The sequence below is a fragment of the Homo sapiens genome, chromosome 1 (assembly GCF_000001405.40).
Source record: "Homo sapiens chromosome 1, GRCh38.p14 Primary Assembly".
NCBI lineage: Eukaryota > Metazoa > Chordata > Mammalia > Primates > Hominidae > Homo > Homo sapiens.
In genome coordinates, this window is record NC_000001.11 from 229,795,516 (window position 1) to 229,808,804 (window position 13,289).

Consider the following 13,289-nt stretch of genomic DNA (forward strand, 5'->3'; position numbering starts at 1 on the left):
GGTATTGAAGGAAGTCTCAAGAATACTAGATATCTCATCTTTCAGAGCAGGTAATCAGTATTGTCAGAATAAGGAAGCTGAAACATGTAGTTAAAAAATGACTTCAACTTTTCAATGACTTTTGTAGTTCTTTCTTTCTTTCTTTCTTTCTTTCTTTCTTTCTTTCTTTCTTTCTTTCTTTCTTTCTTTCCTTTCCTTTCCTTTCTTTCTTCCTCCTTTCCTCTCCTCTCCTTTCCTTTCCCTTCCTTTCCTTTCCTTTCTTTTTCTGAAACAGAGTCTCACTCTCACCTAGGCTGGAGTGCAGTGGTGCAATCTCAGCTCACTGCAATCTCACCTCTCAGGTTCAAGTGATCCTCCTGCCTTGGCCTCCCAAGTAGTTGGGATTACAGGTGCCCACCACCATGCCCAGCCAATTTTTTGTAGTTTTAGTAGAGACAGGGTTTCACCATGTTAGCCAGGCTGGTCTTGAACTCCTGACCTCAGGTGATCCGCCCGCCTTAGCCTCCCAAAATGCTGGGATTACAGGCATGAACCACCACCCCTGGCCTTGTAGTCTTATTTCTTAAATATGATGGGATATTTCAAGAACTAGCATCCTGGAAGCAGCATTTTCTAGCCATTTTTAAATCCATCCATCTAAATGTTTTATACACGTAGGCAAAGAAAGATGTTTGGAGCGATGTCACCAAGTGTTACCGCTGATAGGATTTTGAGTAATTTGTTATTTTCTTCTCTTCTTTATTGTTTGGATTTTTAATAGTGATTCGACGTTTATTTTATACAAACAATAAAGACACTATTTTGACCAAAAATGCCTGCCACTTCCACTTCATCAATCCATTTTTTATTTTCTGTTGGTCAAATTTTGGCCTCTGATAGCAATTTTTCTAAGTACATCTTCAATTTCCTGAGACACTAAATCACAAGCAAGATTAGCCAAGGGATTTCAAATGTCCTTCTTTTAAGCTGATGCAGTTTAATGATATTACCATTCAGGATAGGAAGTAGGGAAGAGTAGAGAAAGAGAGATGGATGGAAACAAAGAGATAAGCTGGAAACCTCATTTTTCCCAGAGTCCGACATGAGTGTAAGAATGCAGAAATGTTAAAAAGGCTCAGTTCTGCTTATGAGGAGCAGGAAGAGCAAGACATAAGGCATACCTTGGAGTCATAGTCCCAGAGTTAGACGGCTTCGTAGAGTCAGGCGTGACTCCACGCACGCCTGCACGCCTGTAGTCTTAGCTACTCAGGATGCTGAGGTGGGAGGATTGCTTGAGCCGGGAGTTCAAGGCTGCAGTGAGCTATGATCATGCCACTACACTCCAGCCTGGGCAACAGAGCAAGACCCTGTCTCTAAAACAACAACAACAGCAACAAAACACAACCACAGCGGAATAAGAGGAAGGGCTCAGAGAATGAGATGCAGAGAATGAGATGTAGGATGGAGTATTCCTAAAGGTGGAAATGAAGGTGGGGGAGATGTGTTAGGAGGATTAGAGGTTAGAGGGTTTGATACAGACACCTGTCATGCTCTGCCTGTGGCCACAGAAAGATGAAAAGTGTGTGGGAGTGCTTGGCAAGACATCAAGATGGCTAAGAAAATAGAAATCCCTCCACGTCAAATGCATGCCTACAACCATCTCTAAATACACAGAATTACAATATAAACACAGTAAAACCTGAAGCAACTCTGGGAAAATGAAACTCTTACATTTAATCAAAATAAGATCACCGGAAACCTGATTGAAACCTTTCATGTCCCTCAGATTATGAGGGGCAACTTGAGTGGGTGAGAAATGTATTTTGTTCACCTTAGTTCAAATAATGTATGTAAAATCCAATTCTGGTCTATTCACCTGGGGAGGGGAATATCTGTTCTAACAGCACCAGCAACCACAGCAACAAAAGCAACCTGGTGTCTAATCTTAGATTCACTGCTATAAAGAGGACCCAGAAGAGGAAAAAGCCGGAGAGAGACCTTAATCAATTGGAGTTTAACCTTTGGTTCGATATGTTTCATCTTGTGGTCAGAACTGAAAGGGCTGAGACGGCTTTATTTTAAAAGTTGTGTTGATGACTGATCAAAAGCAGTTATATCTGGGAGATCATTCAGGTGCGAGAACACTCCAAAGTAATTTCTGTTCTACTTAGCATTTATATAGCACCAGAGAGCTCCGCAGGGTTATTAATACACACCTCGCACTTTCAGAGCAATTTACAGCCATTCTGGATGCTGCCCTTATCTGTGGGGCTGGAGGGGTGGGCAGGGGCCAAGAACTCAGACTGCTCGAGCTGCTGCTTTGAAACCATCCATTTGCCTTTCCTGTTGAGGGCGGGTTCCTGGGCTCAGAAATCGGCTTCCTCAGCAGCCCTGTCCTGATCCGTGAAGGACAACCCTCCCCTCGCTCCATGGAGCCTCTGTGGATGGGCCACTTTCTGTAGGCGAGACACACAGAGAGGATGAGGGACACGGAGAGACACCTGCAGTGTGACCCTAGACAAAACGTGGCTTTGGGCCGGGCGCGGTGGGCCATGTCCGTAATCCTAGCAATTTGGGAGGCCTAGGCAGGCGGATCACTTGAGGTCAGGAGCTCGAGACCAGCCTGGCCAACCCCATCTCTACTAAAAATACAAAAGTTAGCCAGGTGTGGTGGTGGGCACCTGTAATCCCAGCTACTCGGGAGGCTGAGGCAGGAGACTCGCTTGAACCCTGGAGGTGGAGGTTGCAGTGAGCCAAGATTGCGCCACTGCACTCCAGCCTGGACAACAGAGCGAGACTCCATCTCAAAACAAACAAACAAACAAACAAACAAACCCACAGCCTTGTGTTCCATTTCCCTCTGACACCAACCTTTCTGTGGAGATGGCTGCCTGCACTTGCCCTGGGCGGGAACTCAGGGACTTCCTCCTCCCAGTTGTCTTCCCACAGTCCCTCCCTGGCCTTTCCTGCCAGAGGCAGCACTCCATTTCCCCAAGACTGTGGGCTGGGCCGTGTCCTTTTGTCCTGGAACTAGGGGCCAAATCTTGAGAGTGCCTCATATTCCCAAGAGAGCTGCCAGGGACTGCCAACAACCTGGGTGGGCACCTCTCTCGGGGCTTAATAGGGGCAGTAGCACTGGCTCTCCCTCATGCCAACTTCTCACCTGTCTTTCTACAGGAAGAGACCAATATGGGCATTGACTTACATACCCATCAAAGGTGGGCTGGATAAAGGAAATGTGCTGCATATACACAGTGGAATACTATGCAGCCATGAAAAAGAATGCGATCATGTCCTTTGCAGCACATGGATGCAGCTGGAGGCTGTTTTTCCAAGTAAATTAGTGCAGGAACAGAAAACCAAAGACTGCATGTTCTACTCATAAGGGAGCTGAACACTGGGTAGTGATAAAGACGGGAACAGTAGACACCAGGGACTACTAGAAAGGGGAGAGTGGGAGGGAGGCAAGGGCTACAAAACTACCTATTGGGAACTATGCTAACTACCTGGGTGACCGGATCAGTCATACCCCAAACCTTAGCATAACACAATATACCCACGTAACCCCCAATCTAAAATAAAAGTTGAAATTATTTAAAAAAAAATAGAGTACGGACCCCCCCACCTCAAAGAAAAAGACCAAGAGGAGAGCAGACAGGAGAGGATCTCTGGGGCTGTGCCCTGTGGAAAGTGCAGTGCTCAGTTTAAGAGGTGATTCTCTTCTTCCCATGAAACCAAATGAGGGGGCTTTAACAGAGTTACTTCTCAAGGCTGGAGGTTCCTGTCAGAAGAGAAGAGGACAGCGTGTTCCCTAAAGGGCATACAAGCCCAGGGCAACTAAGTCTGAAGGGATCCTAGTAAAAGCAATGAGCATGTCCCAAAGGGCAGTGCTTTGCACCATCTCCTGTTCCTAAGTGCAGGGCTAAAGGCCACCTCCCAGGAGGCCTTGGAATGGCCAGCTGGACATTTGTGTAGGCAGTGAGCTTGTTGGTCAGCTTGAGTGGAGGAGAAGAGAGCTGGAAAAGAAGGATGGCAGGAGAGAGGGCATGGCTGTGGGGCAGCTGGCTTGCTGAGTCTAGTGTGGCCAGGATCTGTCACCCCCAGGTTGAGTGGAAACTGTAGAACATGGCAGAGCCCAGGCTGTTTTGCTATACTCTCAGCCAGAGGGCTGTTGGCCGGGGCAGAGGTCCTTACCCCAAGAGGCTGGAGGATAGAAGGCCAGGAGTAGACTCTTGGAAGAGTTAGAAAGCTGAGGCCAGTGCAGCTCTCTTTCCTGGGGGAGGAAGCCCAATGTTACTTCAAGGAGCCGACATGGCTGGACATTGGAGCCCATGAAGAGGCTCCCAGGGCCGGTGCGAACCCCAGCTGCAGGGGCCACCCCAGATTGTCTATCGCAGCACCTGCCCAGACACTTACCTCGCCTTTACTCTTCTCCATTATGCAACCAGTGAAATATCAGAAAGCAGATGAAGAACAATGCAAATCATGTCAACTTTTAACTTCTTTCACCTCCTCCTTCTAGATCTAAAGTCGAGTCATAGGAATATTGAGTTTGGACAGATTGTTTAAGTTCTAATGTGACACCAAGTTTCTCATGTAAGTAAATTTTAGTATCTGTAAAATGCATACATTAAGATAATCTTATCTGGGGATTTAAAAAGTAAGTTTGTTTTACAACTCAATGCAAAATAATACCAGTCTTCTGTAGGAAATGTAGGAAGCACAGATAAGTTTTTAAAAAGCTAAATCTGAACAGAAATCCCACACTGAGAAGTAATGGTGATTAGACTTTCTAGTAGTTGCTTTCCCATCATTGTATGTATGTGTGTGCTGGCATGCACACATGTGTGTGTGTGCCTGCACGGACATGGGATCATATTGCATATGCTTCATTGTAACCCACTTTTTAATCACAACATTATATTATAAACACTTTCCATGGAATTCTTACGCAGCATCACGTATTGGATGTGCGGCATTTTTCTGTTGGACATCTCAGATAGGGAAGCCCACCTGGAAAGTCCTCATTGTTTCTCTAATACAGTGGCTATTGGAGCTTAGCTTGTGGAAGGAGGTTTACTTTGGAGGCCTCAAATCATGACGTCTTTCTACACCTGAAATCACAGTTTCTCCCAGCCATCCAATGAGTTCTGGACTGGTGGAGTTGGAGGGGCAGCAGGAACAGGGCGAAAGTGGGAAGTGGGGCTGTGAAATCAAGGCAAGCCTGATGATGTGGTTTGGATGTGTGTCCCCTCCAAATCTCATGTTGAAATGCAATCCCCACTGCTGGAGGTGGGACCTGCTGGGAGGCCCTTGGGCTGTGGCAGTGGATCCCTCTTGGCTTGATGCTGTCCTTGCCATAGTGAGTGAGTTCTTGTGAGATCTGGTTGTTTAAAACGGTGTGGCACCTCCCCCCCTGCCCCTTGCTCCTGTTCTCGCCATGTGATGTGCCTGCTCCCACTTTGCCTTCTGCCATGAGTAAAAGCTCCCTGAAGTCTCCTCAGAAGCTGGGCAGATGCCAGCACCATGCTTGTGCAGCCTGCAGAGCCATGAGCCAATTACACCTGTTTTCTTTATAAATTACCCAGTCTCAGTTATTCCTTTATAGCAACACAAGAATGGCCTGACACATCTGGGATAGAAGGTAGATGGCAGGTCTGGGGTTGTGGGCTGGGCATGGAGCTATGAGAGAATTGCTTGGAATTCTACAAGACCATATACGAGGCCAGGTGACATGAAAGGTTATGGGTCAAATCAGGCAGGGGGTCCACAATTGGGAAGGCATGCAGCCTATGTGCAAACATTCACTCTAGAAGCTCTGTGAACACCGACCATGTGCTGGATGCTAGAGAGCTGATACTCTGATGGTTGAGAGGGAGCCAAACTCCATGTCAGCCTAAGAAACAACCGTCTAGTAGTGAGGATGTCATAAGCAAAAGGTTTCATTAAAATGTGATAAATGCCATCAAAGAAGCTGGAACAGGTGCCACGGGACAAGAGGGGAAACCCCTCAGAGTGTGGGAAACCTCATGAGGGGGCTGCGCCTGAGTTGAGTTGGGGGGTGGGGCAGAGTGGATGGAGGGACAGTGGGCACGGGGTGGGGGGCGAGGTCAAGTGCAGGATGGCAGGCAAGGTGAGAGAAGCTCAGGGGGCGGGAGTGGATCTTGGTGTTTGGGGAAGAGAAGGGGGAAATTCTAAAAGTCAGATTCGATAAAATCTTTTGAGGAATTGCTCTAAGTAGCTGTAATAGAATGGCATTTTAGTTTGTATGCAAAATACCATAGACCGGGTAGCTTATAAACAACAAACATTTATTTCTTACAGTTCTAGAGTTTGGAAGTCTAAAATTAAGTTACAGGAAGATTTGGTGTCTGGTGAGGTCCTGCTTCCTGGTTCATATGTGGCACCTTCTGGCTGAGTCTCCACATGGTGGAAGGGGGAGGAGCTCTCTGAGGCTTCTTCATGAGGGCACTAGCCCCATTCGTGAAGGCTCTACCCTCATGACCTAATCACCCTCAGCAGCGCCAGCTCCTAACACCATCACACTGGGGGTTAGGATTCAGCATGGGAATTTGGGTAGACAAAAACATTCACTCCATGGCAAATGGGCACACATGGGGTTATAGTCGGGCTAATGAAAGTGTACACTGCTCTGGTGATGGGTGCACCAAAATCTCACAGATCACCACTAAAGAACTTACTCAGGTAACCAAACACCATCTGTTCCCCCAATAACCTATGGAAATAAATTTTTTTTTTTTTAAAAGAGAGAAAGCAGAACAGTTCTGCTCTGTTATGTGCAAGCTCTGTGACATTAATTTTCCTCACTGAGCTTTGCTTGCCCATCTGTAAAAACAAGAGCAAGACTCCGTCTCAAAAAAACAAAAACAAAAACAAAAAACAAACAACAACAACAAAAAACAAAACAAAAACAAAAAAAAACAGGGGTCATCTCTAACTGTGGGCTGTGCTTGGGGTCAAATGGGAAAACTGGAGGGAAAACACCTACCATGCTGGAGGCCCGGGAAGCCTGGACTTCTTCCTACCTCCTTGAAAACCAGCTCTCATGGAAGACAGTGTCTGCTGTGTGTCCAGCTGGAAGTGCCCATGCTCCGTGTACTGAGGGCAAGGTTACTTCTCTGCCACCAACTGAGCCTGTGAAGGCTGAGTCGGGATGAGTGTGAAAGGGCTGGAACATGAAACCTCACTGTTGTTTACATCCAGGGCCAGGCTTCTTCTGCAAAGCTGCCCAACACAGTCCCATGAGGTCAGGACACAAGATACAGCTTTAAATGCCTCCTAACCTGGCAGGAAAGGATTAGGAGATGAGCTCCAGCCCTTGAAACCACCACAACGGTGGCCGCCATAATTGTGCACTTGGCAGCCATTATCAGAGCTCACTTGTCCCCTGTCAGTGTTTTGGGCTGAAGTGTGTCCCCCCTTGCTCCCTTCCCTAAATTCACATGTTGAAATCCTAACCCCCAGGACCTCAGAATGTGGCTGTATTTGAAGACAGGCCTTCAGAGAGGTGACTGAGTTAAAATGAGGTCGTAAGGGTGAGGCCTAATCCAAAGGACTGCTCTCCTTATAAGAAGAGGAGATGAAGGCGCAGACACACACAGAAGGAAGACCACATGGGGACACAGGGAGAAGACAGCCATCTGCCAGCCAAGGAGAGAGGCCTCAGGAGAAACCAACCCTGCCAACATTTTGATCTCAGACATCCAGCCTCCAGAACCATGAGGAAATACATTTCTGTTTAAGCCTCTCGGTCTGTGGTGCTTTGTCATGGCAGCCTGAGCATACTCAGACACAGAGGCTGACAATCTTCTCCTTCCTGTCTATTATTCTTGCCACCAAACATCAAACCAAACATATTCTGCCAGTGCCCTTGCAGCTGTGGTGCATCTGTGGCACTGTTTTTCCCGCTCACTCAAACTCTCGTGGATGGAACTTTCCACGGCTGCTCCAGCCCCAGCTCTCCCTTCCCCTAGCCCCATCATTTGTGGACCTCAGTGTTCTCTCATCACTTCACGAAAATTTACCTTGTGGCCTCAATTATAGTAGAAGCCCTTAGACTGCCAACTTCTTGGCTGTGTCACCTGGAGCAAGTTCTGGAACCTTCAGTTTCCTCATGTGTAAGAACAGCTGTAAGCCAACCACACCGGATAAACAACCAGCTCTGCCTGACCCTGGAATCCCAGATGCCTCTCTTGGCCCATGGTGGGATACCCTGCTCTGCCACCTCTCAGTACCACCATCGCTACAATGCACAGCCTGCCTGACCCTATGGCCCTGCCTCTGCTGACCACAGCAGGTGCACAACCTACTGTAGACTGTGGCTCAGCTCCAAGGCCCTGACATTCCCAGGCTGTGCCTTCATGCAGTGCATAGTTATCTGGCTTATGTTCAGCCACCACGTCCCATGAGAGGACAAGGATGGATGAGGCCTTCGTTTTGTCTGCCTGGACTCCAAGATATTATCCTTGTGCTGCAATAGGTAATAGCTACCTGCAGCTGATGACTCAGACTTCCTCCTTTCACAAACACTTTTTTTTTTTTTTCTGGCAGGGCCACTTTGCCTCTGTGACATTCAAGAAGTGCTTACAACTGAGACCTGCCTGCAAGCTGCAAAAACTGTAAGGGGAAAAACTTTGCTTGGAGAGTGCTCTTGAACACTAAACCATATTGCTTTGCCAAACAGGAATATGGGGGTGAAATAGGGGTCATTGTCAGAGGTAGGTGCAATTTTACAATTGAAGCCAACAGGCTTGAAATATAGTGAAAGCACTTTTGGTTAAAAAATAAACTCTCCAAGTTTGCAAAAGGGTCAATTATCATTACTTTTATTTGGGCTCAGAAATCTTTCCTAACCACAGCTTAATCTTTTCTCAAACAATCTATGACAACCTCCAGCTACAGGAAGCTAAAAGAGCCACTGTGTCATGTCCAATTAAGGAATATTATCAAGATGTCTGTGTCTCTAGGGAGAATAGCCCCCCCAGGGATGGTCACCTGAATTGACTTTACCTGCGAGCACCCAACAGCATGGAGGCTGGACTTTTGGTGACATAACTTTTTTTTCTCTCCCAACCTTTTTCTCTGTCATAACTTGTTATTGAACTCAGAAGCAGGAACAATGACCCAGTCCTTCTGGGAGATATGATGTGGTGGCAGTTTGGGCTCTTTTTAAATGCATGTGTCATTTGTCCTTACATCTGGTTCTGAATCACAAAAAGAATCTATAAAAAGCCAGAACCTAAATAAATGTTAGCAGCATTGTTTGGTGAAAGCCCTGTAACCATCCAATGGGTTCATCTTGCCAGCTGCCCAGATAAAGCTGATTTATCAAGACAGGGGAGTGGCAACAGAGAAAGAGTTTAATATACAAAGAGCTGGCTAAATGGGAAACCAGAGTTTTATTATCACTCAGATCATCCTTCCAGAATGTTTGGAGGCAAGGGTTTTCAAAGATAGTTTGGCCTGCAGGGGGCTAGGGAATGGGTGCTGCTGATTGGTTGGTGAGGTAATCATAGGGGTGTGGAAACCAGTTCTTGTGTGTTGAGTCCACTTCTGGGTAGGGACCACAGGACTGGTTGAGTCAAGAGTTGCGGGTCCAGGTGGAGCCACTGGTCATCAGAAATGCAAAAGCCTGAAAACACACCTCAAAAGGCCAAACTTAGGTTCCATAATAGTGGTGTTATTTACAGAAGTAGGAAGGTTGCAAATCTTGTGACCTCCAAAATTATGGCTTGTTATCATTTAATTACATCTACATCTTAGCAGAATTCAGGTCCCTCTCATTCTCCTAACCTGGTGGACTTTCATTAGTTTAACTAATGTGGTTTAGTTTTGGGAAAGGGCTATTATCGTTTAAACTATGAACTAAGTTTCTCCCTAAGTTAGTTTGGTCCACTCAGGAGTGATCAGTGCAGTTTGGAGGTTACAGGCAAGATGGAGGTGGTTAGATCAGATCTCTTCCACTGTCATAATTTTCTCATTGCTATAATTTTTGCAAAGGTGTTTTTAGCCCTTTGTTAAAGTACAAAGATTGCCACGTGGATGAGCAGGGTTTGAACACCTTGCCTCTTTGAGAGGACCTCTTCATGCCCTGCCAGCTCCTGTGGGCCTCATGGTCTCTCACTATTGGGTAAAGAATATGACTCCAGTTCCTCTATGAAGTGTCATCTGCCACCTCAGTTTATCTGGCTTTCTGCACATTCACTCCTTTACTTAGCAAGCTTGGGAATCTTTTTTGTATATCTCCAACTAAGTGCTTGGAGGGAGGAGGGGAAAAGTTGCATTTGCTCTGTCTCAGACCTCTGGCATCATCAGTCCCTGGTTTGTGGGGCATGAAGCAGATACATTTATGGGGCCATCCTTAAGAAAAAGAACAAAAGTGATTTCACTTTGGCAAATTTTACCAAAGCATATAACCATGTAAACACATTGCAGGAGCTTATCCCGAAGCCTTGTGTCAACTGAAAAAATTGTGAGATTTGGCCGGGCGTGGTGGCTCATGCCTGTAATCTCAGCACTTTGGGAGGCCCAGGAGGGTGAATCACTTGAGGTCAGGAGTTTGAGACCAGCCTGGCCAACATGGTGAAGCCTCGTCTCTACTGAAAATACAAAAATTAGTGGGGCTTGGTGGTGCATGCCTGTAATCCCAGGGACTCAGGAGGTTGAGGCAGGAGAATCGCTTGAACCCAGGAGATGGAGGTTGCAGTGAGCCAGGATCACGTCACTGCACTCCAGCCTGGGTTACAGAACGAGACTCCATGTCAAAAAAAAATTGTGAGATTCATACATTTAGAGAGGAGAGCAGGACTGTGGCCTGCAGGCTGGCCACTCTGCATGCTAAGAAGTGGAACCTCCAACAGAGACTGAAAGCAGGCACTTTAAGGGAGGGAAGAATGGAACAGGAATTTATGCCAAATGGGTTGGCTAAACATATATATTTAATAGGTTTTAGGAGGAGCTATGCATATTCATGAGGGGAAGTTGCACACATGCATGGTAAGCAAACATGTATATTACATATACCCCATGATCACTCTGTGGTGGAGACTTAACATTTAAATGCATTAAAGTTAGGCTCTATACATCAAAGGGGCAGCAAAGCACACAGAAGCATCTCGTGTGCAGCCTCTGTAAACCAGCCAGAACCAGCCCACGGTCGCTGGTTATTTATCAGGGAGAATGTGTTGTGAAACTGATGAGCTGCCATGTCGAGGCTGCAAGAAGGGACGGGAGTCTGGCTGGGGCATCTGGTGATTGGCTAAAGTCAGCGATGGAGCAAACCTTCTGTTTTTGTTTTTCCAGGGCTAGCTTCTGTTTAACTCTTAGGAAATAATCCAGTATAAGTTAACAAGGAAGGAAGTATACTGAGGTGTCACTGACCTCCCTTCTTGTCATGGAATTTAGTTTTCCAAGTTTTTTCTGGGGCATCCTTGGCCAAGCAGGGTTCATTCGCTCTGTTGGCAGGGCTCAAGATTTTATTTTTATTTCACACTCAGAAGGGGCCCGACGCTTAGGATTCACCACCTCCTCAGGAAATCTGCCTGTGCTCTGTGGGATATGGTGGCATTTCTATGGGGGATGTTTCTCGGCCACTTGTGGCCCTTAGTTCTTGGGTCTTGAGTCCCCTCAACCATCCCCACCTGCCCAAGTCTCTCACAACTTCATTCTTCCTCTTTTTATGAGGTAGCAAGATAAGTTCTGCTCTGTACTCTTGGCCTCAGTGTCCTCTTCTGTAATGTGGGGATTTAGGATGTTATCTCTTAGAAAACATCTGAAACATACTTGGCTCTCAAAGAATGCTATCCGGTGCCTATTTCTCAAACCACGTGCCCAGATTCCTGACCAATCAGCTGCTCATATTTCTATGTCTGGTTCCAGAACAAAATTTTGTCACAGCTAAGAATTATAAAATTTGTACCCCTCAGCCTATAGTGTAAAAATAGCTGCCAGAAGAGGCCATAGATATATCCAGAACAGAGATTAGAATGCTTCACTGAAGACTTGTTTATTGTAGTAAATGACCCAAACTTAAATCTTAAATGTCCAGCCAGAAGAGATGAGTAAACCTAAGGTAACATTATACAATGGAATACATGACAACTACCAAACTCATTTTAAATATTAATAGATTGCATAATATATTGCCAAGTGAATAATACAGGTGACAGAACTGTATTTACAATCTTATTTCATTTTTGTAAAATAAATACTTCACACACACAACACACACACACACACACACACCGCACAGTGTTGCAGGAAGCATATGCACCAGATGTTACCTGTGGTTATCAGAAGGATGAGGCAAGGGGCCATGTTCTTGTCTTGCTGACCTGCATTTCCTATAAGGTTGCAGTGGAGGAGGCCCCTCAGGGCACCACACCCGGGCCCTCTCCTTTCCTCTGCCCAACCCCACTTCAAGCTTATAATCAAATTCTAATCAGCAAGTGGGTACTCAATTGCCGAATGTTTTTGGGCTCATGTTTGCCAATTTAAAAACAGCAGACGTTTCTAGCCAATTATTGCAGTGACTCTAGAAGAGTGATTACTTTCTCCGTCTTGTGGCTCTGATGATTCTTCAGGAAATTGAGCTGAGAGTTTAATGTCAAGTGGCTTTGTGAACAGCATTTTTATTGGAAGTTGAGCCTTTGATTTCTGAGTTGTGAAGCAACTCTGTTCTATTCGAGAGAATGTTTTCTTTGACCATGGAAGACATCAAATTTGGTTCAAACAAGAGGACCTTGTGTGAGGACTACATACACAGGTGATCCTAAAGTATCAGCTTGACCCCAATCACAGTGTTTACGTGTTTAGGTAGCTCCAAAATGTTTGAAGCAGCTTCCTAATGAGCAGCTGGTTTTGTTGTGAAATTGTGTTTCTAAACAGCAACCTCTCAGAGCAGCTGAGAAATAATTGTAAAATAATAATTATTAATAATTGTATGTAAATAATGATTAATTAATCATTAATAATGAATGATAAATAATTATTAAGAATAATTGAAATGATTCCTAATGTTTTTATTCTGTTTTACTAATAATAAGTAAAGATTTGACTTTTGTGTTTTATTTTATAGTTTGCAAACTACTTTTTAAAAACAACTTTATTGGGATATAATTTTCATACCATACAACTAACTCCCTTTTTTTTGAGACGGGTTTTTGCTCTGGCACCTGGGCTTCTGGTAGCGCAGTCATGGCTCACTGCAGCTTCAATCTCCCAAACCCAAATGATCCTCCCGTCTCAGCCTTCCCAGAAGCTGGGACTATAGGTGTGTGCCGCCACGCCTG

General features: G+C 45.6%; 1 long non-coding RNA gene across 1 annotated transcript in view; it reads right to left on the reverse strand.

Moving 5' to 3' along the window:
• Positions 1 to 12,333, reverse strand: part of LOC105373161 (uncharacterized) — a 29,235-nt gene extending 16,902 nt beyond the window's left edge. Inside the window, exon 1 of the long non-coding RNA XR_949247.1 lies at positions 12,282 to 12,333. This is a non-coding gene — a long non-coding RNA (uncharacterized LOC105373161). The remainder of the gene's footprint in view (positions 1 to 12,281) is intronic.
• Between the last annotated feature and the right edge of the window lie 956 nt (positions 12,334 to 13,289).